This window comes from Homo sapiens, chromosome 11 (genome assembly GCF_000001405.40).
Source record: "Homo sapiens chromosome 11, GRCh38.p14 Primary Assembly".
Lineage (NCBI taxonomy): Eukaryota > Metazoa > Chordata > Mammalia > Primates > Hominidae > Homo > Homo sapiens.
In genome coordinates, this window is record NC_000011.10 from 60,802,692 (window position 1) to 60,829,973 (window position 27,282).

At 50.8% G+C, this 27,282-nt stretch overlaps 1 long non-coding RNA gene across 1 annotated transcript in view, besides 1 other annotated feature; it reads right to left on the reverse strand.

Moving 5' to 3' along the window:
• Positions 1-27,282, reverse strand: part of LOC105369322 (uncharacterized) — a 43,823-nt gene that overhangs the window by 10,367 nt on the left and 6,174 nt on the right. The window lies entirely within an intron of this gene.
• Positions 12,281-13,016: an enhancer, noted in NCBI's record as "H3K27ac hESC enhancer chr11:60582445-60583180 (GRCh37/hg19 assembly coordinates)". NCBI's record gives its function as "activates a minimal SCP1, AML or CMV promoter by ChIP-STARR-seq in naive H9 embryonic stem cells {active_cell/tissue: H9 hESC(naive)}" and the evidence as "EXISTENCE:reporter gene assay evidence [ECO:0000049][PMID:30033119]".

The window sequence follows — 27,282 nt, forward strand, 5'->3', positions numbered from 1 at the left end:
GATTTGATTGTTACATCACTTTATTTTCTTTTAATCTAGAAAAGCCCTCTCAGCTTTTTCATGACTTTTGAGACCAGTTGTCTTGCAGAATGTTGATGGTTTCTTCAAGGTGTCTTTCCCCTGCTCCTCCACCCTCCCTCTTTCCTGTAGCCTGGTAGTCACATCTAGAAGACCCTCGAATCTTGGTTCAATGCAGGGTAAGCACAGTTGGGGAGAACACTCCAGAGGTGATGGTGTGACCTTCACCCTGCACCCAACCCGGGGTACTCGGGGCCAGCTCATCCCTCGATTAGCGGCTGGTCCCAAGGAACTGTCATGTCTCTCCATGGCCAGCGTCATTTTTCATTTCTTCCTTCTCCTACAAAGTTTCTTTGCAGAAGATGAACCAAATGGCATCACATGTCAAGTAGGAAAATGTTGAAGTGTGTCTTTCTGTAATATCTGAACATATACTATAGAAAATTTTCACATGTATTAAACCCTAGCTTTATAACACTGTATTAAAACCAATGACTCGAACTCCATTTTTTTTTCTTTTTACTCAGAGTCTTTTTTTATCCTGGGCCACGCAAAATGCAGAGTCGTTGGAAATATATCTGGAGGAGTCATATGATGATGAAGCCCATCACAATGTACAGGGACTTCACAAGTCTGGATAAAGTTTAGGGGACACTGAACCAGATGATGGTTTTGTTCCTGGCCAGCTCTAGCACTCGAGGTTTCTACCGTGAGACAAAAGGACGATGTCACGGCCAACATCTGGCCTCAGGATGCTCTAACTTAGAGATGTCAGTTCAATGGCCTTGAGGTAAATAAACCAGAAGGCTCAGGGCCCTGGGTCCCCATAGGCAGATCCTTTCATTCCCTAACAAAGATACTGCCACAGTATTCCTGAGCCTGGGGAGGGGCAGGCTGTGTTCACCCTTTCTAGGGCAGGAGTGGGGGGCAGCAGCTCTCAGGGAGAAAGAGCACCTGGAACTAAGAACTTCCTCAACCACTTTCTGTGGAACTCAGGTAAAACAGCTAACTTCCCCAAGCCTCAGTTTTCTCATCTGTAAAATGGGAATGATAATCCCTCCCTCACAGAGTTATAGTGAGGCTCCGAAGAGACCATGGATATGAAAGCCCAACCTTAGTGGTCCCCAAAATGTGAGACGCTGAGGGGAAACCTGTTAGGGATTACTTCTTTTTCAATCTCTTAGATTTATTTAAGGACAAAATCTTGGTTTGGGACAGCTATATCTTTTTTGTTTGTTTGTTTGTTTGTTTGTTTTTTGAGACAGAGTCTCACTCTGTCACCCAGGCTGGAGTGCAGTGGCGCCATCTCGGCTCACTGCAAGCTCTGCCTCCCGGGTTCACGCAATTCTCCTGCCTCAGCCTCCCGAGTAGCTGGGACTACAGGCGCGTGCCACCACGCCTGGCTGATTTTTTGTATTTTTAGTAGAAACGGGGTTTCACCGTGGTAGCCAGGATGGTCTCGATCTCCCGACCTCATGATCCGCCCGCCTCGGCCTCCCAAAGTGCTGGGACTACCGGCGTGAGCCACCACACCCAGCCTGGGACAGCTATATCTTTAACACCTAACACTTGTTCTTCCTTCCTTTTACTAAGACAGCAAGCCCAGCGTGCAGCAGGCAATCGTATAGAGCCAGAATTCGACAACACAGTTTTGTTCCCATTGGGTTTTTTTTTTTTTTTTTGGTTTTTGGTTTTTTTTGTGCTGTTTTGTTTTGGTTTTTTGTTTGTTTTTTTGTTTTTTTTTTGAGACAGAGTCTCACTCTGTCACCCAGGCTGGAGTGCAGTGGCACGATCTCGGCTTACTGCAAGCTCTGCCTCCCGGGTTCACACCATTATCCTGCCTCAGCCTCCCGAGAAGCTGGGACTATAGGCACCCGCCACCGCACCCGGCTAATTTTTTGTATTTTTAGTAGAGACAGGGTTTCACTGTATTAGCCAGAATGCCCATTGGGTTTACTTTTATGCGTATCTTCCATTTATGGCAAGTGATACTGAATTTCTATTTATGGTAGTGCTATCAAGTGCTCTTTTATAATATACATATGTAAGTTAAAACAGTGATAGTGGATATGGGGTTTTCTGAAGGAGTGACAAAAATGTTCTAATATTAATTGTAATGATGCTTGCATAAGTCTGCCCATACTAAAAATCATTGATTTAAAAAAGAGGCCACTTAAGGAAACTTACTAAACAAATAGCGACACAAAACACAAATGTTTTAGAGTCATGAAGTTAGGCCGGGTGTGGTAACTCACACATGTAATCCCAGCACTTTGGGAGGCAGAGGTGTGTGGATCACCTGAGGTCAGCAGTTCGAGACCAACCTGGCCAACATGGTGAAACCCCGTCTCTACTAAAAATACAAAATAATTAGCCGGGTGTGGTGGCGCATGCCTGTAATCCCAGCTACTCGAGAGGCTGAGGCAGGAGAATCGCTTGAACCCAGGAGGCGGAGGTTGCGGTGAGCCCAGATTGAGCCATTGCACTCCAGCCTGGGCACCAAGAGCGAAACTCTGTCTCAATAAAAACAAATAAATAAATTAATAAAAATATTAAAAAATAAAGTCATGAAGTTAGAGCTTGAAGGACTGAAGTCTGGAAAACAAGGCAAGTAGATCTCTTCACTCCACTCTGTTTGCAGAAGGGAGGTGCAAGGGTTTGCACTCTGCAGTTGAGATTAAAAATTTACTGCGGCCCTTGAACCTAGAATTCTACTTCCTAATCTCATTGAACTCTGGTGTTGGAAGAATCTTTGCGGATCATCTCAACTAACCCATCATGAGACAGATGGAGAAACTTGGCCCAGATGAAGCTTAGTGAAGTTATCCAGCAGACCTTTGATGGACATGAGGCTAGAACCCCGGTCCTGAGCTACCACCACACTTCCCCAGCCTGCCCCACCTGCTTTCCTAGGAGCCTGAGAGCAGGAACACGGCCAACTCCTATCTGCATCCAGCACCCTGACTTCCTGGCTCCCAAATTTATCATCTCCCCTAGACTATGAGATAATTCTGCAAACTCTAACCCCAGCCCGACCCTGGGAGCCTAAAAGAAACTTCAAAGCCACACCCTCTTCCTTCTCCGTCTCCATGACCTTAAGGCAGGTCACAGAGGCAGGACGGCATTGCACTCATTTACTCTTCATTCATTCCACAGGTAAAGACTGAGTCCCTACAATGCTATGTCCAGGGGCAAACCACCATGAGCAAACCCCAGCCTCTCAGAGCTCGGACTCTGGTGGGAGAGACAGGCACTAATCCAACGATCACACCTGCGAATGTATAACTACCATAAAGGGAAATTGAGAGGCGTTATGAGAGAATGTGATGGAGACCTAATCTGGAATACAGGGCATGGCCAGAAGGAGAGGCTGTGTGAGAAGAGGCCTGCAGGTGTCTGAGCTGTCCTGGCCCTGTCATTTCTTCTGCACAAAGACTTAGCTCTTCCCAGGTCAAAACCCTTAGCCTGCCCCTCACCACCCCTCATGGCTGTGATCACTTCCTCCCCACCTCCTCACTTCCTTCCAAACAGTCCGATTGCCTTGCATCCGTTCAGAAGCAGATTGTCCCCATGGTGTGTCAGGCCCCTGCCAGGTGCTGGATGCTCTTATCAGTTAGGGTTCCCCCATAGAAACAGAAACAGTGAGACATATAGACTAAGATTCATTGCAAGGAATTGGCTTATACGATTAGGGGGAGCTGCAGGCGCAAGTGTACAATTGGCAGAGCAGACACTCGGGAAGGCAGAGCTGGAGCTGCTGTCCACAGGGGGAATAACTTCATCAGGGGAACCTCAGTTCTATTCTTTAAGCTTTTCAACGGAATCAGGCCCACCCAGATTATCTAGGAAAATCTCCCTTACTTACAGTCAACTCATTGTGGATTCAATCACACCTACAAAATACTTTCACAGGTTTTTTTGTTTTTTTTTTTTTTGACACAGAGTCTCACTCTGTCACCCAGGCTGGAGTGCAGTGGTAGGATCTTGGCTCACTGCAACCTCCGCCTCCAGGGTTCAAGCGATTCTCCTGCCTCAGCCTCCTGAGTAGCTGAGATTACAGGCGCGTGCCTCCACGTCCGGCTAATTTTTTGTATTTTTAGTAGAGATGGGGTTTCACCATGTTGGTCAGGCTGGTCTCAAATTCCTGACCTTGTGATCCACCTGCCTCAGCCTCCCAAAGTGCTGCGGTTACTGGCGTAAGCCACCGTGCCCGGCCTACTTTCACAGGTATTAACACCTAGATTAATGCTTGGTCGAATTGCTGGGGATGTAGCCCAGCCAAACTGACACATCAAAAGATCATCACAGGCACACAGAGGCAAGAGAAGTTGTAGAACAAGTGGACAGGACTGGCAATCACAGAATTATCTTTGGCAGCCTGGAGGCTGGTAGTCGTCAAACATCCCCATGTTAAATTTTATTCCACTCCAATAGCTAACCTTTACTGAGTGCTTACTCTATGCCAGACACCATTCTAAGCACTTTTGCAAGAAGTCCTCACAAAAAGCAGTTTATGGATTAGGAGACTCAGGCCCAGAGGAGTTAAGTAATTTCCTGAAAGTCACGTAGCAAGAAAGTGGTAGAACGAGGAATCACACTCCATTGGATGCCAGAACCTGAACTTATGACTCGTGGCCGCTCTGCAATGCCGCCTCCGTTTGTCAGTTTATTTGTGCCAGAAGTGGCTGAGCAGTTTATCAGCATCTCTTCATCCTCAGGGATCTTTCTCTTTTTTTTTGAAACAGAGTCTCACTCTGTTGCCCAGGCTGGAGTGCAGTGGCATGACCTCGGCTCACTACAACCTCCTCTTCCTGGTTTCAAGCGATTCTCCTGCCTCAGCCTTCTGGGTATCTGGGATTACAGGCACGCACCACCACTCCCAGCTAATTTTTGTATTTTTAGTAGAGATAGGGTTTCACCGTGTTGGTCAGACTGGTCTCGAACTCCTGACCTTGAGTGATCCACCCACCTCAACCTCCCAAAGTGCTGGGATATTATAGGCATGAGCCACCAGGCCCGGTCATCCTCAAGGATCTTCTCAGAAAAGGGCTGTGGTTGTCTCTATTTTGCAGATAAAGATATGGAGGCCTAGAGAGGCTGCTTAACGCAGCTTCATGGTGGCAGAAACAGGACTCAAGCCTTCGTCTGATCAACGACAAAGTCCAGGCTCTTCTGTCTCTGAAACAGAAGTGAAAAGGCCCTTCTGCAAGATGGCTCCAGGGAGTGAAAAAATCAACACAAGACAACACAGTGAAATTAGGAGGCCCTGGGCCAGGCGTCATAGGAACACAGAGGAGCAAGCCACATTCGGCCTGGGCTGGGGCAGCCAGGGAAGTGCTGTAGGAGGATTAGATGCCTGAGCTGAGTCCCAGGGGGAAGAATGATATTCCAGGCGCAGGGCAAGCATGGACAAAGGCATGAGATGAGAGAAGCAGGGAGCAAGTGTAGCCTCCAAACACAGGAAATTCCCATTACACAGAGATTAGTATCCCAAGCCGGTGGACAAGATAAAAATCATGCAGGGGATGGCCAGGCGCAGTGGCTCACACCTGTAATCCCAGCACTTTGGGAGGCCAAGGCGGGCGATCACCTCAGGTCAGGAGTTTGAGACCACCCTGGCCAACTTGGCGAAACCCCGTCTCTACTAAAAATACAAAAATTAATTGGTCATGGTGGTGCACGCCTGTGGTCCCAGCTACTTGGGAGGCTGAGGCAGGAGAATTGCTTGAACCCAGAAGGCGGAGGTTGCAGTGAGCTGAGATCGCGTCACTGCACTCCAGACTGGGCGACAAAGACTCCACCTAAAAAAAAAAAAAAGAAAAAGAAAAAAGAAAAGAAAAATTATGGAGGGTCAAAGTTGCCCTTGAAGATCTCTTAAATTTCCCAAATAGTTTAATAACACAACACAGACCAACTGCGGGAACACCACATTCCCTCTCCCACATAGACTCACTCCGGGCATCAGCTCACAGAGAGGAAGCTGGTGGGAATGCCCTAGCTATTTAAACCTTACTTTTTTCTACCCCAACATCTTGGGCAGGGCAGGAGGTAAGGGGGACAGAGCGTGACGGTTGAACCTCCTCAGAGGTTCCACGTCTTGTCTGGGGTCTGCTCGAAGTTGACGTGACTGGGTTGCTGGGCAAGGCAGAGACTAGTAGGGATGCAGCAGCAGTGGGGCCAGCTCAGAGGTCCCACGTGGATCAGAACCATCTGGGAAGCCTTTAAAATCCCCAGCCCCCTCCCAACCTGCCCCCACCTCCAACAGCTCCCATTTATTTAGTCTAAAGCAGTGGTTCTAATTGGCAACGTCTGGAGACATTTTTCGTTGTAATGACAGGGATGGGGATGCTACTGGCATCTTGGGTAGAGGGCGAGGTCGCTGCTAGACATCCTATATGCTAAGGGCAGCCCTACAACAGAGAAGCAGCCAGCCCCAAATGCCAGTACTGCTGAGGCTGGGGAACCCTGTGCTAGGATGAGGCCCCAGAGTCCAGATTGTGCTGTAGGCCATAGGGAGCCATTGGTTTGTGTCCTGGGAAGATCTGTCTAGGACCACAGTATAGAAAGTCTGGATAATTTCCCACCTGGATGGGAGCCAGCAATTGCCCCACTGGTTCATCAGCTCCAGTGCAAACCACTGTGCAAACCACACTCCAGGCTCCAGTATTTGAGGAACTTCTTGCCCGTTTAATCCTGCCCTTCACCTTTCCCACAGTGAGTCCCCTGCCCTGCTCTGGCCAGCAGTTCTCGCCCTCAGAGAGGTCAAGTGCCTTGCCTAAGGTGGCACAGCAGGTGAGTGGTAGAGCTGGGTCAGGGCTGTAAGGGACTTGCCCAGGTGAGGGGGCTCACACAGGGCCACACAAAGGACCTGTCTGCATGAAGCCTCCCTGGCCATCAAAGCCAAGCCAGTCCACACGAGGTGAGGAGCCAGCCTGGCTACAAAAGGATGCAGGAAGGTGAGGGACGGAGGGAAGAGAGGGCCGAGAAAAAACTAGTGACAGAGGGAGGTGTGGTCATGGGAAGCAAGAGAAGCCATGGGGGTGAGGATGATTCCAAGATGAGAGAAGACAGCCCAAGAGTGTGTGCGAGTGTCTGTGCCTGTACACAGGAGTGGCGTGTGCATGGGTGTGCGCCTGTGTATGCGTGGGAGGTGTGTGTGTCCCGCTGCATCATCACCCTCTTTATTCAGAGCAATGTTGTCAGGCACCTATCAAATAAAGTAACTTCCCCGCCTTCTCAGGATGATTTCACACGGAAACCATGGGCTGAGGCACATGACGCTCCACCATGGAATTAAAAGGGCACCACAGGCAAATAAACCTTCCATGTCTCTACCTTTCTTAACTGAGCGAAACCTGGCTGTGAACCCCACCCGCCTGCTTTTCTCAGTCATTGTTGCGTTCTGCCTGGCTCCAATGGGTTCTACGGAAACTCCAGGGCTTTGTCCTTATAATAGTGGGGAGGAGGAAGGACCACATCCATGGTGGGCTCTGTTGCCCTTTTGGCTACACAATGCTGCTGACCACCCTGGGTATGCCCCTCACACCCTCAGGGTGGGGTGGGCTGGGCCTGCCAGTGAGCCCCTCCCCACTGCCCTGGAGTCCGGGTGCAGAGTGATCCATCCCTGCGCGCCACCATTTGTGAACCCGCACCCACCACCCCTCAGGTTTCCAGGCCTCCCACCTCCCCTAGAAAGGGCCAGTCTGTATTTCCTAGCCAAGCTCCCATCTGTCTTCTCTTCTCCCTCAGCCCCCTTCAGACAACTCCATTTTATTTTTTTGATGGGCCAAATCTTCCCCAGAATACCTACCTTGGAAACATAAGTAGGGCAGCCCTTGAGACTCAAAGATGACATTACCTCCCCAGTTGTCTCCTCACTCACTCAGACAAGAAAAACCTAGACCTCAGACCTTGACAGATTTCTCTGTTCTCTCCAGGAAGGGGAGGCAGTGAGCCTAGAGGCTGGAGCACAAAGGTGAAAAAAAGCACAGCTGATTTTTCTCCTGGCCTCTGCCCCTCCAACGAGCAGGAAAGGCGGATGTTTCTTTGCCGCAGAGACTTCCTGGCACCTGCTCCTGACTCCAGGGCAATGCTCGGGGAAACTCCCATTGCGAAGGGAGCAGGCCCTGTCTGTGAGCTGATTATGGCCTGTTACTTTTGTGCTAGAGGAGGAAGCAAATGCCTGAGCCCAAGGGGGCTGTGCGAGGTCTCTGGCCCATGGGTGCGGCAGGGCAACACGGTCCTCCCACTCCCAACCCCACATGCTCTGCCCCTCGGTGAGCCACAGCCTCTGCCTGCCTGCCCCCACCACCCACCAGGCCTTCCCAGGACACGGCTTCCTTGGATATCCACGTGGCTGCCTCCACTCACTTTCTTCCCCAGGCCTCATTGCCACCAAAAATCCTGCAAGACTCCTCCAAGAGGAGCTCCCAGAGAACAACAGATCCCCTACCCCCCATCTGTGGGAGAATGTGGCTTCGCGGGCTCTGAAGAGAGGAAGGGAAGGAAGAAGGGAGCCAGGGCTCCTCGGCAGCCTCATTTATCTCGGAGTCTGACTCCCCTGTGAGTCCAGAGAGCCGTACGCGATGCAGCCAACCCACCTGCCCCAGAGGCATGGCTGCTTTCTGGGTGGGGCAAAGAGAAAAGCCTGGAAGAGCATGTGTATTATCCATGTGTACCTTCAGTAGTGGCCTCTGCAGCCAGTAGAGAACCCCACCAGCCTCCTCTCCTTTTCAGAAATCTCTTGCTCCAGCCACACCCAAAACCTGGCATCCACCCCGCACCGCCACCTCCAAATGTCCTAGGTCTCCACTCCCCTCTGTCTGGTTCTTCTGCTTGGAAATCTGGAAGCCCCCATCCCGCCCCATCCCCCTCCTCATCCTTCCTTCTTATCCTCAATACACACCTTGTTGTGTGTGTGGTGCCTTGTTGTGGCCTGGCTGTCATGTGTGCTGTCCAGGTTTTTGTTGTTAGTTTGTTTTGAGATGGAGTCTCGCTCTGTCCCCCAGGCTGGAGTGCAATGGCGCAATCTCGGCTCACTGCAACTTCCACCTCCTAGGTCAAGTGATTCTCCCTCCTCAGTCTCCCGAGTAGCTGAGATTACAGGCATGAGCCACCACGCCCAGCTTTTTTACCATCCAGTTTTAAGGCTTTTACACTCACAGCCCTTCAGGGCTCAGATTAGTGGCATAAATGAGTTATAAAGTGGGTGCAAGACAACAGTGAGTGGCCATCAACTAGAAAGGGCTTGTCCCTTAGTTCCAAAAAATAAAAAAATAAATGGGCAAGACCCAAGAAGCAGAAAGGTCAAATTCCAAGGACCACAGACAATTGCCCTTTGGTGTATGCATATCTTCCCTACTCAACCACAAGCTCCTTCAGCACAGTGACATCTTCTATTGTCTTTTATAATAAAACACAAATTAAGGGCTTGGCCAGTTAAACTGAATTAAGATTTTCTCCACCACGCCTTTGCACATAATCTTGGAGAAACAACACGTTGGGTGGAACTGGCAATGGCCACAGCTCTCACCAAATCTCTGTCATGGTCTGGGTATGAATTAGAATCCCCAAAGAATGGCAAAGTATTGTTGACCACGTAACTGAATTTCCAAATTAACATCTTAATTCTCCTTGAAACTCTCTCCTTCCTGGCTTCCTCCATACCAGTGCTCTTGGAACACTCCAGCCATCTCGCTGTCCTCTCTGGTCACTGGGCATCCCCATCTGAACATGCACCAAGACATGGGGTAGAGATTTACCCTTCTCTATTTTTACTGTAGCATGGGCCAGGGGGGTGCCCTTAGTTAGGGGGTGCATAGAATTGATAGAAATTAAGAAGGTAGGGGCCGGATGTGGTGGAGCACACCTATAGTGCCAGCTATTCTGGAGGCTGAGGTGAGAGGACTGCTTGAGCCCAGGAGGTGGAGGCTGCAGTGCACTATGATCACACCTGTGAATAGTCACTGCACTCCAGCTAGGCAACATAATGAGACCCTGGCTGAAAAAAAGGAGAGGGGAGGATGATGCAATTTATATGCATCATCCACCTCCAGTCCTGGGCATAGGGAGGATGGAGAAGTAGGGAGAGTGATCCTGGAGGGACACCTGGAGAATGTGCAGCACAGACCCTAACATGGTGACTGTAATAGTCTGTTCTCACGCTGTTAATAAAGACATACGAGAGACTGGGTAATTTATAAAGAAAAAGAGGTTTAATATAAAGAAAAAGACTCACAGTTCCACATGGTTGGAGAGGCCTCACAATTGTGGTAGAAGGCAAAGGAGGAGCAAAGTCACGTCTTACATGGTGGCAGGCAAGAGTGAAGTCCATTACAAAAGGGGGAAAAGCCCCTTATAAAACCATCAGATCTCATGAGAACTCACTATCACGAGAATAGGAAGAGGGAAACCTCCCCCACCCCCATGATTCAATTATCTCCAACTGCTCCCTCCCATGACACGTGAGGATTATGGGAACTACAATTCAATATGAGATATGGGTGGGGACACCCATATCTCATAACAGTGACCCAACCATAACATAACCCAAACCATAACAGTGACCTAGATGGCAGTACACTAGCTGCTCAAATCACCTGCAAATTCTTCCCTCTGCCTCTGTGAAGACCAGCCTCTCCATTCCTGCTCCATCTAGCTGTCTCCTATCATCAGCTACCTTCACAGCATTAACACCACCCTGTGCATTAATGCCCTGAGCTCCAACTTAAAGAGTCCTAGACTGTCCCAGCCAGCAGGTACTTCAGGCATCAGCTGAAGTTACTGTAGTCTACTTCCTCTTTATGCAGCCAAGGAAGCTGAGGCTGATGGAAATGACCAGCCTGAGAATTAGAAGGTGACTAAAAGGAAGAACTGGAACTATCCCTCAGGCTGCATGCATGCCACCCCAAGCATCTGTGGGTACACAGTGACCAAGAAGCACTGCAGCTGTGTCAGCATCTGGAAAGGCAGAAAAATTAGGCAAGAGTCTTCAATGTTTAGCGGCAAAACTTTTTTTTTTTTCCTGAGATGGAGTCTTGCTCTGTCACCCAGGCTGGAGTGCAGTGGCATGATCTCGGCTCACTGTGACCTCTGCCTCCCAGGTTCCAGCAATTCTCCTGCCTCAGCCTCCCGAGTAGCTGGGATTACAGGTGCCCACCACCTCGCCCAGATAATTTTTGTAGTGGCAGAACTTTATAAAAGCAAAATCTTATGGTAGGTAATGCAAGTAATGGTGGTATTTTATTATATATTTTGCAATTCAATTTAATAGCATTTATCTGTTACAAAGAAAATCAATGAGAGCAATGAGGCAGTTTCAATTAGCACAAAATTTGAAACCAAGGAGTGTAGTAGCTGCATCCACTCATCCTCTTCTGAATTTGATCTGATTGCATAGTGTCAGCAAAGGCCTAAATCAAAAAGACAAGTAGTTGCAAATGATAATAGTTTTTACCAGCTTGTCTGACAATCTTGCAGTGCTATTCCATAAAACATAGTTGGCAGGAGAAATTTTAAGTCAAAGACAGCAGATATGGGATGAACAAACATCCCAAGTACCCAGTCCAGCTGCATCAGTGGCTGGGATGGCATTAGCAAACCCACTCCCTGTGCATATCAGTAGCACACCCTTAAAATGCATGCAAACTTTGATTCCTAACTTTCAGATTTCCTCCTACCGTGACATGAATTCTCACCAAACAAAGGCCAGAATGTTTTTTTGACATATTTAGCTATTGATAGGCTTTAGCTCTCCCTCTCCCTCTCCCTCTGCCTCTCCCCACGGTCTCCCTCTCTTTCCACGGTCTCCCTCTGATGCCGAGCCGAAGCTGGACTGTACTGCTGCCATCTCGGCTCACCGCAACCTCCCTGCCTGATTCTCCTGACTCAGCCTGCCGAGTGCCTGTGATTGCAGGCACGCGCCGCCACGCCTGACTGGTTTTGGTGGAGACGGGGTTTCGCTGTGTTGGCCGGGCGGGTCTCCATCCCCTAACTGCGAGTGATCCGCCAGCCTCGGCCTCCCGAGGTGCCGGGATTGCAGACGGAGTCTCGTTCACTCAGTGCTCAATGGTGCCCAGGCTGGAGTGCAGTGGCGTGATCTCGGCTCGCTACAACCTACACCTCCCAGCCACCTGCCTTGGCCTCCCAAAGTGCCAAGATTGCAGCCTCTGCCCGGCCGCCACCCCGTCTGGGAAGTGAGGAGTGTCTCTGCCTGGCTGCCCATCGTCTGGGATGTGAGGAGCCCCTCTGCCTGGCTGCCCAGTCTGGAAAGTGAGGAGTGTTTCCGCCCAGCCGCCATCCCATCTAGGAAGTGAGGAGCGCCTCTTCCCAGCCGCCATCACATCTAGGAAGTGAGGAGCGTCTCTGCCCGGCCGCCCATCGTCTGAGATGTGGGGAGCGCCTCTGCCCTGCCGCCCCATCTGGGATGTGAGGAGCACCTCTGCCCGGCCGCAACCCCGTCTGGGAGGTGAGGAGCGTCTCTGCCCGGCCGCCCCGTCTGAGAAGTGAGGAGACCCTCTGCCTGGCAACCACCCCGTCTGAGAAGTGAGGAGCCCCTCTGCCCGGCAGCTGCCCCGTCTGAGAAGTGAGGAGCCTCTCCGCCCAGCAGCCACCCCATCTGGGAAGTGAGGAGCGTCTCTGCCCGGCAGCCACCCTGTCTGGGAGGGAGGTGGGGGGCGTCAGCCCCCCGCCCGGCCAGCCGCCCCGTCCGGGAGGTGAGGGGCGCCTCTGCCCGGCCGCCCCTACTGGGAAGTGAGGAGCCCCTCAGCCCGGCCAGCCACCCCGTCCGGGAGGGAGGTGGGAGGGTCAGCCCCCCCGCCCAGCCAGCCGCCCCGTCCGGGAGGGAGGTGGGGGGGTCAGCCCCCCGCCCGGCCAGCCGCCCCGTCCGGGAGGGAGGTGGGGGGGTCAGCCCCCCACCCGGCCAGCCGCCCCGTCCGGGAGGGAGGTGGGGGGGTCAGCCCCCCGCCCGGCCAGCCGCCCCGTCTGGGAGGTGAGGGGCGCCTCTGCCCGGCGGCCCCTACTGGGAAGTGAAGAGCCCCTCTGCCCGGCCAGCCGCCCCGTCCGGGAGGTGAGGGGCGCCTCTGCCCGGCCGCCCCTACTGGGAAAAGAGGAGCCCCTCTGCCCGGCCACCACCCCGTCTGGGAGGTGTGCCCAACAGCTCATTGAGAACGGGCCAGGATGACAATGGCGGCTTTGTGGAATAGAAAGGCGGGAAAGGTGGGGAAAAGGTTGAGAAATCGGATGGTTGCCATGTCTGTGTAGAAAGAAGTAGACATGGGAGACTTTTCATTTTGTTCTGCACTAAGAAAAATTCTTCTGCCTTGGGATCCTGTTGATCTGTGACCTTACCCCCAACCCTGTGCTCTCTGAAACATGTGCTGTGTCCACTCAGGGTTAAATGGATTAAGGGTGGTGCAAGATGTGCTTTGTTAAACAGATGCTTGAAGGCAGCATGCTCCTTAAGAGTCATCACCACTCCCTAATCTCAAGTAATCAGGGACACAAACACTGCGGAAGGCCGCAGGGTCCTCTGCCTAGGAAAACCAGAGACCTTTGTTCACTTGTTTATCTGCTGACCTTCCCTCCACTATTGTCCCATGACCCTGCCAAATCCCCCTCTGTGAGAAACACCCAAGAATTATCAATAAAAAAATAAATTAAAAAAAAATAAAAAAGAATAACCAAAAAAAAAAAAAAAAAAATCCCAAGTAAACACATTAATGGATTCCAATAGTCAAATCTGGAACACAATGTACCTTTGAGTATGCTTGATTTCAACAGTTTGTTCAAATAGTCAAAATCTATATTTTAAAAGTGGAATTCTCATCAAATATTGTCCAAAAAAATAAATGAGTAGAAGTGAGACGGCCAGTCAAGTGTTTTGCCCTGCCGTTTGCCCACTGTGTGTGGCCTTGGGGATGGAGGGGGAGATGTTGGGGAGGTACAATGGGAAGGGAAACTTCTCCTCTCTGGCTATAAGTTCCCACATCTACAAAATGAATAAGCTGAAAGAAAATGAAAATATAACATATACAAATCTGTGGGATGCAGCTAAAGCAGTTCTTTGAGGGACATTGATAGTCTTAGATGTTTTTATTTGAAAACATGAGTAGACTCAAATCAATAAAATAACTTTCCAACTCCTTCCCTTAGAAGACCAGAACAGTCACAGCATCATACAAGCATGACTCCTAACAGGTGGATGCAATCTACCAGTCATTCTAGCCCATCACTCTCATTTTACAGATGGAGAAACTGAGACCTGGGGAAGGCAGCAACTGGCCTATCACACAGAATGTTAGTGGCAGAGCCAGGACTTGAACCTCAGACCTGTTATTGTTTCTCTTGGAGGTCAAAGACTGGGGCTTATCTCCCTGCCTTTATTCCTAGGATGGCACAGGTAGGAGATCCCGAAAACTTGTTATTCTTTGTGAAGCTTGATCAATGAAGAACCTTTAGGTCCCCCCAAACACTGGTCCATGTCCTCACACTGGACATGTGGCACTCACATGGCAGTTTCTCCTGGCAGTGCTCAGCTGTGTCCTGACACCCTTCTGGATCCTCCATCCCATTGATTAATCATCTTTGGGGACTAATTTCCTTAGACTATGTCCTTGGTTAGCCAACCTTTTCCTTTTGAAGCTGAATGGGGTCAGTTTCTGTTATTTGTGTTAATTCTGCTAGACTGGGAGACTAGTGGGGATTTTTCTAACTTTGTAATCCTGGCACTTAATATGTGTTGGAATAAAACATCTGTATGGGCGTGGTGGTGCACACCTGTAGTCCCAGTTACCCAGGAGGCTGTGGCGGGAGGATTCCTTCCTTGAGCCTAGGAGTTCAAGTCCAGCCTGGGCAACATAACAAGACTCATCTCTTAAAAAAAAAAATCTGCTAACTTTGCCCTCCTCTCGGCTTGTGTCTGGGGAGGACCCTTAAGGAAAGAGCAGCCACATGGCTGGGGCTGGGCTCAGGCTCCTGCTCCCCAACTTGAATGGGCAGAAAGGAAACAGCAGGAATTTATCCAGCACCTACAGTGGACTGGCCATGACAATACCACCCCCTTTACACAGAAGAGGAAGCTGAGGATCAGAAAGTCGAACGGCTTGTCATAAGGAAGCACACTTACTGGAATTCCAGTGCAGCTGTCGTGCAGCACAATCCGTGGGTAACTCAAGTGAGACCCCGAGCCTTGCCGAAAATGTGGATTATATGGTAATATCGGCAGAGCCCAGGCAGGACCTCAGAAGTATTAGACACAGAAGTCACACATGTTTGGACAATGGATGCTATTTTTCTGTTTAAATTTTTAAAAATTATAGTAGAAATGTATAGTTGATCCCAACCATGAAACTAAGAATGTCAGAATCAGAAATGACTTTGGGGATCATGATCGGGTCTAATGCTTCCATTTCACAGATGAGGAAGTGGGGGCCCGAGATAGGAAAGGACTTGCCAAGGTCACACAGTACCGTTAGTAGAAGCAGCCGGGTCTCCTCCCTCTCCAGACAGTCCTCCATCTACTGGCAGTCTCCTGCCAACTCCTGCTGAATGGTCAGGAATGTTCCCAGTTCCTTCTGCCAACTCTATCACCTGTAGGGGTCTCTATCCCCACAATAGCATCACCCACCAGCTTTTCCTGATGGTTGCTCTACCCCACTGTCATGGCCCAAACAGGTGACAGAGAAGTCTAGAAAAATAACTCCTCCAAAAATATCCAGAAAGAGTTAAGGGAGTAGTGAGAAAGTGGCAACAGGGCTGACCTGCCAGGAGGAGCAGGGCTTTTGCAACGGGCTCCATGAAGCCATGAGCCTGAGGCTCGGGGTGCCTTCCCAGCATGCCAGCCCCACCAATCCACTGCCGAGGTTCAGACATGGCCCTGGACAGATGTCAGGATTAGCAGATACCCACTTACAAAAGAAACACACAGGCTTTTCAGAGAGGTGTACCCATATTTCCACAGAGGACAGGTGGGCATCTCAGACGGCCTCATCTCGAGGACTCATCTCAAGCTGTTTGAGACAGGTCTATAGGACCCAAGGGGTGAGCACAGTTTTAAGCCTCAAGAGGGCCCTAGTCCATTATTTCTGCAGCTGATTTGTGTCTGGCAGGAAAGAAAAAGCTAACATGGATGCAGCCACCTCCACGTGCTGGGAACTGCACGGGCACTTTGCATGTAGTATCCCATTTAATCTCACAAGATCCCATGGAATAGGGATTCCTCTGCCCCCTTTTTGAGATGAGCAAATGAAAGCTCAGGGAGGTTAACGAACCTGCTTGGGTGTGGGGTTGTATCATCAACACAGAGGGCTACGCAGCCAGAAGACCTCACAGGCACCACTGAAACCCACCAGGGCCTGAAGGATGGGAGGGTTTGGATGGGCCAGTATCCTGCAAACTGGCCTGATCGAAAGGGTCACCTGGGGTATGTTAAACGTGGAGATTCCCAGGCCCCTGCCCTAGAGAGTCTGATTCAGAAGGCCAAACGTGAGGCCCAAGTCACTGTATTTTCAGCAAGTGCTCAGATGATTCTTATGATCAAGCAAGATTGGGAAACACCAGGTGGAGAAAGAAGGAAAAGGAATGGGTTGCAGGGCATAGACACGCCTTGTGCAAAGGCTCAGCAATGACCTCAGTGAAGCATGTTTGGAGGGCAGTGAGAGCACAGGTTGAGGCAGAGAAGGAGTGATATCAGGAGAGGTGAAGATGTGTCCAGGCTGCTGGACAGAGAGCCCCATGACCAGGTGAAGGTCAAGAGCTTCAGGCCTTAGGATCCCAGGGACCTCCCAGCTCTCTGTTCCTGGGTTTGCTTAGAATTGGAGGCATGTTTTCGGTTTTTTGTTTTTGTGTTGCTTTTTATTTTTCTTTTAATGTCTCTCACTTTTGCTTAGGGAGGCAGTGGGATGAACACTGGACAGGAGTCAGAAGCCATGGGTTCCAATATAGGCCCGACTATTTACAGTCTGTCTGACCTGAGCCAACTGGAGGGTTGCTCCCAGGCCTCATCACACAGGAGGCTTAGTAATTAAGCACAGGACCATGTGTGAAGACTCCAGGTAAGTGGTAACAAGCCATACAGACAGGTGTAGGCTGTGGAGTTGGTGGTGTTATTAACTAGCCTGGCGGACTAGAAGGGAATGGCCTGGGAGATAAGTGGGGATGTATCGTAAAGCAGGAAAAAAACCCAGGTTTTCTAGCCAGCTGTCTTGGATTTAGATCCCAGCTCCACTATTTATTAACCGTGTCATCCAAGCAAGTTACTTAACCTCTCTGGTCCTCAGTTTGCATAAGAGTGAAATGGAGATTGGGCTTACCACATTATAAATGCATGCTGGTAAGCATGAGGTTGTAGTGGTTGTCACCAGGTCCAAACTTCTTCCCTTACCTCTGTCTCATTAACTCCCTTTTACCTCCATTCCCCACAGCCTTCCAGCCCCAGGTAACAACTTCAGCACGTTTTAATGCATGTTGTGTTACAGGATATTAGTGTACACATATTTAACTTGTGTGTATGGTATTGTTTTGTCTCATTTTGGTTCTTTTTTTCCCCCTCTCAGCCTGTGTCTAAGAGCCACCACGTTGCTCTCTGTGGACATCCTGACCTTTGCTTTTAGCTGCTAAGAATTACACACAATTCATGTTTTACCAATCACTCCTCCTGGTGACGTAGCTTCACTTTTCAGATGGGAAAACTGAGACCCAGGAAATGGGGATCTGCCTGTGAATGTTCTTCCTCATCCTGGGACCCCAGTTGTGTGTGCTGCAGGTGTCTGAAATGTCAAAAGCAAGACCCAGGCTCCAGCTCCCTCCAGGAGACATGAGGCAGCCCAGCCCACAGCCCACCTGCCTTCTGAAGCCAGCTGACAGGGCAGCAGCAATTAGTGAGGCTCCCTCCTTCTGAAAACTCAGGGGTGCCATGGCAGAGCCCAGAGGAGCCATCCTGGTAGGCTGAGACCCTGGGCAATGCCCACCCCAGCAGAGAGAAGCTCTTTTTCCGGGGACAGCCAACCATCTTGGGAGTAAGTGGATCACCCAGTCTCCACAGACCTGTGCAGCCACTGCCAATCCCAACAGTGATGCAGTCAGTAGAATTTATGGGGCCAAGGGTACATACCAGTGGAGGGACTGTGGAGCAGCAGGGAGGCAAGACAGAGCTGCTGGGGTTTTCCTTCCTGGCCTCCAGCCCTGAAAATTAGCAGCAAAGGGCTGGGGCTGCCACTGCCCTGGAAAGCACTGCTTGAATCCAGGATACGAGAGCAAACCTATGTCCCCCTTGCCAGGCCCCAGGAGCTGGGTACCATCGCTCTAAGGCAACTCTGGGGTGAACCGGGAGCTTTCCTTTTCTGATGCCGCACCCCTGCATCAAGGCTCTCCTCATTGTAGCTGATTGGGTCTTGGTCAGTGGTGAGACCAGCACGTGTGGGCAGAAGTCTGTGCCTGTCTCCCGCTGATGTCAATGTGGGCAGCTGAGCAGAGAGTATGGGCCCAGCCAGGCACTGGAATCCTAGCTCCTCCGTTCTCTGCATGTGTGGCTCTGGGTCCCAGTTTTGAAAATGAGGTCTCTTTTACCTTGCCGTTGAGCACGAAACGATGGGAGGAGCGGAGCCTGCTGGGAGAAGCTACTCCTCTTGGGTGACAGAGAGGTGGAGTGTTGAGGGTGAGGTCAAAGTGCTGCTCTCAGGTCAGAGAAGCCTATTTGAGACAAATGATCGCAAACTTCTGGGCTTCAGCCTAGGCTGAGTCAACCCTGTGCCCTGGAAGGACAGGCTTGCATGTGCGGTATGGAGGCTTAGGGAACATGGGCAGAGGCAGGCTCCGATCCCACTCTGAGACCCCAGCTTCGTCCCTAGAATGCCATGAGCAGGGTGCTGCTCCATTCATGGGTGTGGTGAGAGCTAAATGACTTGGTGCACAGAGCAAGCTCGGTGCACTCAGGGCCAGCACCTTGGAGGTAACCAATGTGTTGGGCTTGATGCCTGAGATGGCCCTCACCCAAGCTTTCTAGGGTTCTGCAATCCTGCGGTGCCCCTGGGACGAAGAGGCCTGGTTCTGCGCCTGCCCTCACTGGCTGGGGAAGTTGGCAAGGTTCTTATTCTCTCCAGGCCTCTGTTTTCTTGGCTGCCAAGGAAGGAGGTGGATGGGGAGTTTGTCTAAGATCCTTTTCGGCAGAGACATGTGCACAGAGACCTGCCCAGCCACTCAAGTCCTGGGAGACACAGCCCCAACCCCGAAAGCCCAAGGCTTTAGCTCTGCGCCCTCCCCCCTCCACCCCCAGGCCCTGCAGATCATTATCAGCTGCTGGCAACTGGTGGCTGGCAGGTTGGGGGGCGGGCCGCATCCTGGCTGCCTCCTCGAGCTCCACCGAGTTCCCCACCACTTACTTGTACCCGCTGGCAGGAGGAGTGCTCCTGAGGACCCTGGAGATCCCACTTGGTGGTGGCCCAGAGACAGAGAGGACTGCAAAGACCAGGACTGCAGATCCTCCCTGCACCCTTGGGAGGGAGTTTGAGTCTGTGAAGTGGGAGTGAAGCTGCAGGGGGTGGAACTGTTCTGAGCTCGAGGGGAAGTTCCAGGCCCACCCCACATGGGATTGGATGGCCCAGGGGAGGCACTGGGCTGTTGAGGCGGCCAGCTAAAGAGCTGAAGCTGGTTCACAGCGTGTGGTGGGGGGAGTCGTGGCAAAGGGCCTCTGCCCCAATATATGCAGCCGAGGAAGGAGAAAGGTGGTGTCCCTGGGGACTTACCCCGAGGGTAACACTCAAGTCAAGGCGCTCAGCCACTACAATGAAACAAAAGCCCCTGGGACTTGATTTCTAGATCCAGATCTATCACTTAGCAGCCCTGTGACTTAGGCAGGTTGCCTCCTTCTCTCAGTCTTAGTTTCTCCATCTTCAAAATGAGAGACTAGTCCCTCCCACCTCCAAGCATGGGCCAGAGACCAGCATCTTTGGCATCACCTGGGAGCTTGTTAGAAATGCAGAGTCTCAGGCCAGCTCCAGTGGCTCAAGCCTGCAATCCCAGAGCTTTGGGAGGCTGAGGGGAGGATCTCTTGAGGCAAGGAGTTTGAGAACACCTGAGCAACATAGCACGACCTTGTCTCTACTAAAAATAAAAAATGTTGATATGCAACAAGATATAAAAAAGGAAAAAAAAATTAAAAAGGAAAACTAGCTGGGTATGGTGGTACATACCTGTAGTCCCAGCTACTCAGGAGGCTGAGGCAGGAGGTTCACTTGAGCCCAGGAGTTGGAGGCTGCAGTGAGCTATGATGGTGCCACTGCATTCCAGCCTGGGCCAGAGAGCAAGACCCTGTCTCTTAAAAAAAAAAATGCAGGCCAGGCATGGTGACTCACGCCTGTAATCCCAGCACTTTGGCAGGCCGAGGCGGGCAGGATCACGAGGTCAAGAGATCAAGACCATCCTGGCCAACATGGAGAAACTCCATCTCTACTAAAAATATAAAAATTAGCTGGGCATGGTGACACAGACCTGTAGTCTCAGCTACTTAGGAGGCTGAGGCAGGAGAATCGCTTGAACCTGGGAGGCAGAGGTTGCAGTGAGACGAGATTGCGCCACTGCACTCCAGCCTGGCGACAGAGCAAGAGGGAGACTCCATCTCAAAAAAAAAATTAAAAATAAAAATAAATAAATAAATAAATAAATAAATGCAGAATTTAAGCCCCACCGTACACGGGCTGAGTCAGTCTGCAGCTTAACAAGATCCCTAGGCGCTCATGTCCTCTGTCAAGTTTGAAAAGTACTGGACCAGTTACCTAGGAATCTTTCGGGCATTCCCGGCTAATTTTTGTATTTTTAGTAGAGACAGGGTTTCGCCACGTTGGCCAGGCTGGTCTTAAACTCCTGACCTCAGGTGATCTGCCTGCCTTGGCCTCCCAATGTGCTGGGATTACAGGCATGAGCCACCATGCCCGGCAGGTACCTAGGAATCTTTAGTGGCCCCCTTCTAAAATCCTATCTCACCAACCTATGCAGAGCCCAGTGGGGAGGACTAGATGCCTTTCTCTGTTCCCATAAGCCCCATTACTCCCTGTTGTCAGGCCTCTGAGCCCAAGCTAAGCCATCATTTTCCCTGTGACCTGCATGTATACATCCAGATGGCCTGAAGCAACTGAAGATCCACAAAAGAAGTGAAAATAGTCTTAACTGATGACATTCCACCATTGTGATTTGTTCCTGCCCCACCCTAACTGACACAATATATTCTCCCCTGCCCTTAAGAAGGTACTTTGTAATATTCAAAGTACCACTTTGTAATATTCAAAGTACCCTTAAGAAGGTACTTTGTAATATTCAAAGTACCCTTAAGAAGGTACTTTGTAATATTCAAAGTACCCTTAAGAAGGTACTTTGTAATATTCAAAGTACCCTTAAGAAGGTACTTTGTAATATTCAAAGTACCCTTAAGAAGGTACTTTGTTCGCCTATCCCAAACCTGTAAGAACTAATGATAATCCCACCACCCTTTACTGACTCCTTTTTCGGACTCAGCCCACCTGCACCTGGGTGAAATAAACAGCCTTGTTGCTCACACAAAGCCTGTTTGATGGACTCTCTTCACACGGACGCGCATGACACTTGGTACATGGCCCACTGTGCCAAGCCATAAATGCTCATGGCAAACCTTCCCTGCATTAGGGTTTCCAGGAGGCAGGTGCCTCTGGGCTCCCTGAGACCATCAATCTCCCTGCCTCTCTGTGCAGTTCTTAGTTTCAGGAGCAACCACCCTGGTCATCTCAGCAAACTGCACAGTTCCCCGGGTGAGTTTCATAGACATTTCTTCTGCCTCTGGGCACAGCTTATCCTGGAAGACCTTATATGAAAGTGGATGCTTGTGGGGCCTTTCCACAGGATGGTGGGCGAGTAGGGAGTGGGCCTTTGTCCGCAATCCTACTCACTGGCAGGTCTGAGCTCCTGACCATCCTCCTGTCCTATAGAAGCTTCCTGTATCTAATTTGAGTCTGTTTCTAGTCTCCTCTCCTTTACCACAGCTCCTCCATGCCTTTAATACAGCCTGGACCTCAGCAAGTCACCCCTAATCGGATAGGTTGCATGCAGACCCAAATGGCATTAAACTTGCTGGACCTCCTGGTTCGACCTCCAGAAAGGGGACTCCATCCCCACCAGAGCCGTCTGTTTTGAACCTAGGAAACTAGAATCCTAGGGCTGCTGTAACCAATTACCACACACCAGGTAGCTTAAAACAACAGAAACATGGCCGGGCCTGGTAGCTCATGCCTGTAATCCCAGCACTTTGGGAGGCCGAGGCAGGCGGATCACTTGAGGTCAGGAGTTCGAGACCAGCCTGGCCAACATGATGAAACCCCGCCTCTACTAAAAATACAAAAATTAGCCAGGCGTGGTGGCAGTTGCCTGTAATCCCAGCTACTCGGGAGACTGAGGCAGGAGAATTGCTTAAGCCCAGGAGGCAGAGGTTGCAGTAAGCTTAGATCGTGCCTGGGCAAGAGTGAGACTCCATCTCAAGAAAAAAAAAAAAAAGAAAGAAAACAGAAACCTGTAGTCTATGATTCTGGAGGCTGGAAGCCCAAAGTCAAGGTGCTGGCAGGATCGAGTTCTCTCTGAAGGCTCTTGGGGATAATGCTTTCTGGCCTCGTCCCAGCTTCCAGTGGTTGCTGGCAACTCTTGGTGTTCCTTGGCTCGTAGACACATCCTGCCAGTCTCTGCCTCTGTCATCAGGGGCTGTTCTCCCTGTGTCCCTTCCCTTCTTCTAAGGACACCAGTCATAATCCATTATGACCTCATCTTAACTCGATTACATCTGCAAAGACCCTATTTCCAAATAGATCCCATTCACAGGTACCAGGGTTAAGACTTCAACATATCTTTTGGGGGGATACAATTCAACCCACAAAAGATGGCAAATAGCTTTTCTATCGATGCGGCCCTGGTGGGTTCTGAGGATTGATGGATGTTGTCTGCCATGGACTTTGCAGGAAGAAGTGGCCACACATGTTGCTGTCTGTGCTCCTGCAACAAATCCATCTCCTGGCTATTAAGGCTGACATAGCCTCTGTGGCCCATGGGCTCCAGCAGGTGGAGCAGAGATGCTGTCACCTTGGTCACTGGTTCCTGGCTCCTAGGGCAAGTCAGTGGTTCCTCCAGGATCAAAAGCGTGCAAAGGAAGCCCGCAACACAGAGGGCATGTGAGCCAGCACTCTCCCCTTCCCGCTGGGTAGTAACTCGGGCTCCGGTCTCCTTAGCAGGTGAAGGTCAGCACAGGGCCAAACCTGGTCAGCTCACTGTGTGCCAGCCTCGGGGTGTGTGCCTTCATGGTTGAGCTGGCTGCCAGCAACAACTATACCCAGATCAGTGTCTCAGGCCCAGAGAATAAGCATCCACTCTTTGGGCACCATTTAATCCTAGAAACCACCACCAAGAGATATTTTCTTATCCTCTATTGTCAAAGTTAAAATGGGGAGTGGGATTTTTTTTTTCTTTAAATACAGACAGAGCCTCGCTAACTTGCTCATGCTGTCCTCAAACTCCTGGGCTCCAGCGATTCTCCTGCCTAAGCCTCCTGAGTGGCTGGGACTCCAGGCAGGTACCATGACACCCAGCTTTTGGGAGTAGGGTTTAAGTGTTTAGCAATTACCTCCAGATTCCCTGAGGCAGAACTCCACCAGGATTTGACAGCCCCAGGTACTTCCCTCTGGACTAGTTTTTCCTGTGTTAATGCTGATGTGGTGGCTCTTTAGGAGGCCAAGGCGGGAGGATCGCTTGAACCCAGGAGTTTGAGACTAGCCTGAGAAACATGGTGAGGCCCACTCTCAACCAAAAATATTTTTTTGAAAAAAATTAGCCAGGTATGTTGGTGCAGGCCTGTAGTCCCAGCTACTTGGAAGGCTGAAGTGGGAGGATTGCTTGAGCCCATGAGTTCAAGGCTGCGGTGAGTTATAATCATGCCACTGCACTCCAGCCTGGGTAACAGAGTGAGCCCCTGTTTCTTAAAAAAAATAATAATCATTTGCTTGGAGGAAGATATTCCAGCTGCTTGCCTCCTACCAAGGACGTTCCCCTGTAAGAGCATAGAGGTCAAGGGTGCATTAGGAGGACTGCCAGCATAATAATACCTAAGATTTATCAGTGAGTCCTGCCTTCTGGCTGTGGCCATTGAGGTCACATCTTTTCAAAGACATGTGATTATGTCATGAGATTGCTACCAGGGACCTGGACGTGGCAAAAATGGGGCTGGGAATACTGGGGGAGGAGTTTCCTCTGCTCTCATCCTAGGGAAAGAGAGGAAAGGAGAAACACTCTCTTCAGGTGGGTCTGACACACCATGCAGGGGCGAGGGACACACTGCCCACTGCTGCCCACACTTTGACCACTTCAGTGACCCAGCTGCCCCAGAATCCCCGACCTTCCCCTGTAGCCTGGGGTCCCTGAACGGCCCCAAGACTCAACTTCCTGCCCGTGACCTCACGTGAAACTGATCTTCACCCAGCCCCTCTCTGTGCTTTCCTTATCAGTAGAGGACAAATCATTCCTCCTAGGCCCCCACGACCCTAGTCCACTGTGTTCACCTTCCCTAGCTGCTCTCTCCTCCATCCATGCCTCTCCCTCTCCTCTGGTCCAGAAACTCAAGTCCCGGAGACCCCGTGTCCCTCTCTGACTGTGGTCTCCCCTCTCTTCCCTTTCACAGCAACAATCTCCTACGGACTCCATCTCCTCCTCTCCCGTCTCTACAGACCTCAAGCCCTCTCAGGGCAGCCGCCAGTAGCTTACTGCCAAATACATGCTTTTCCATGTATTTTCTTACTTGACCTTTCTGTACTTTTTTGCTGATGGGTGTCAGTCTGAATGGTTGACCACATGGGTCTTGGAATTGGATGGGTCTGAATCCCAGCTTTCACATACCAGCTGTGTGGCTTTGGACAAGTACCTCAATTTTTCTGAACCTCTGTTTCATCCTCTGTGAAATGGGGCTAATCAGAGTAGCTATCTAATAAGGCAACTAAGATTAAAATAAGCACGTAACAGGTGCTCACTAGATGACAGGTCACTCCCCTTCTAGAAAGCTTCCCTTCTTTTATCCATCTCCTTGGTCAGAATCTGCAGACTGATTCCGGGACTGGCTGGCCTGTAAAACTGCCCAGTTTTTGCAGGCTTTGCACCCTGGTTTTGCAGGTGCCCTGGAAGAGTCTCTCGGTGCTGCTGCTGTTCTTCACCATCCTGGCACTAGGCATCGCCTTCTTGTCTACCTTCCTGGGCTTCCATGCCACCTTCTGCTACACCCAGCTGGTGAGTGGGTTGGCAAGGTCTCTGCAGGACAGGCAGGCCCTCACTCGATCCCCAGAGCCTGGACAGGGGAGCCGAGGGAGGAGGGACAACAAGAGGGCTGTGTGGGGAGTGGCAGGCAGAACCCCTCCTGCCATCCTAAACCATCTGTACCATGGCCGTGCTGAGCCCCACTTGGTCTACACTGGGGAGATGCTGTCTTGAAGGACATGTGAGAACAGGGAGGTGGCTAGGGAAGAAGATGTTTACAAAAGCTTATAGCTCAGCACCAAGGTAGAACTGACTAGGACAAGTGCCGCATGGTGCCGCCAGATTCTGGTGGTGGCAGCCGATGCTGCAGGAAGGAAGGGCAGCGGTGAGGCTTCTGGATCCTGGCTGACAACTATAGCCTTACATGCGCTGGGAGACGGTGGTTACAGCAGCTCCCTCCATCAAGGGGCTTCCACAAGCTCCTTCCCCCGACCCTCATGACAGGCCTGAAGGGGCAGGGAAGAGACTGACCACGTGTCACAGATGAGGAAACTGAGGCCCAGAGAACTAAGGTGACCTGGCTGAGATCACATCCATCCCCAGAATCCAGGTACGACTCCCGGGCAACCTTCTCCTCAGGGAAGACCAGAGCTACAAGAAGGACTCAGCCCAAAGCACAAGGTCTGGGGGCTCAGGCTACCACCACGTGGTCTGTGGAGGGCTGTGGGCAGAGAGGAAAGCCTGGATCGCCAGAGAAAGCACAGAAGGAAAACCTAAAAGGATCACAGGGTCACATGGGCTGCTTCTGGGCTGACTAAAGGCGAGTGGCCTTGGCCCTTCCTTCTTCTCCCGACTCCAGTACCTGAACCCAGCTCAGGAACTTCCCACGGCCACAGCAGCCACTCCCAGGATCCACCCACCAGGCCCCACAGCCCCCAGCCACAGCCTGCACTCAAGGCATCTGCTGATCCTGGGAGCTGAGCTCCTCCCAGCATCTGACCTCTGGGGCTCTGCGATCTTCCCCTTCTCCTGGCTGCAGGGTTGGCCTTCCCTTTGTAACACCCAGCCCCAGAGGTCACTACCCCCATCCTCATACACACCCCAGCATGGAGATGGGTCTGCTCTTTCTGTCTAAGAAACATCCCTCAATGTCGCTGTTTTGCTGTCAACAAAAAGTTGACATGTGGCTTGGGTCACATCCACCAGGATTTAGTGACTAAAGTTGCATATCTTGTCCGTGTGTGTGCACAGCAGGGACCCTAGGTGTCTCACGTCTGTATGTGTGGATGGACAAGTATCCACCTGTTCCCCCACTTAATGGATTTGTTACTGGAAACCCTGCTGCTAAGTGAGAAGCTGTTAAATAAAAATATTTTCATGAATGCGGCCAGGCACAGTGGCTCACGCTTGTAATCCCAGCACTTTGGGAGACCGAGGCAGGCAGATCACTTAAAGTCAGGAATTCGAGACCAGCCTGGCCTACATGGCAAAACCTCGTCTCTACAAAAAATACACAAGTTAGCCAGGCATGGTGGCGCACGCCTGTAATTCCAGCTACTCAGAAGGCTGAGGCACGTGAATTGCTTGAACCTGGGAGGCAGAGGTTGCAGTGAGCCAAGATCGCGCCACTGCATTCCAGCCTAGGTGATAAAGTGAGACTTTGTCTAAAAAAGAAATATACTTTCATGAATGCAAATGGGAAAAATGTATTCCATCCCAACCCAAGGTACCCAAGCAATTCTCGGAAAAATTTTCAGTGCAGACAAGTATACAGGTAGTAAGCAATCTGAATGTATTCAGGAGTCCCCCCTGACGTGAGGTTCCACTTTCTGTGATTTCAGTTATCCGTGGTCCACCACAATCCAGAAATAGCTGGCCGGACGCAGTGGCTCATGCCTGTAATCCCAGCACTTTGGGAGGCCAAGGCAGGTGGATCACCTGAGGTCAGGAATTCAAGACCAGCCTGGCTAATACGGCGAAACACCATCTTTACTAAAAACACAAAAATTAGCCGGGTGTGGT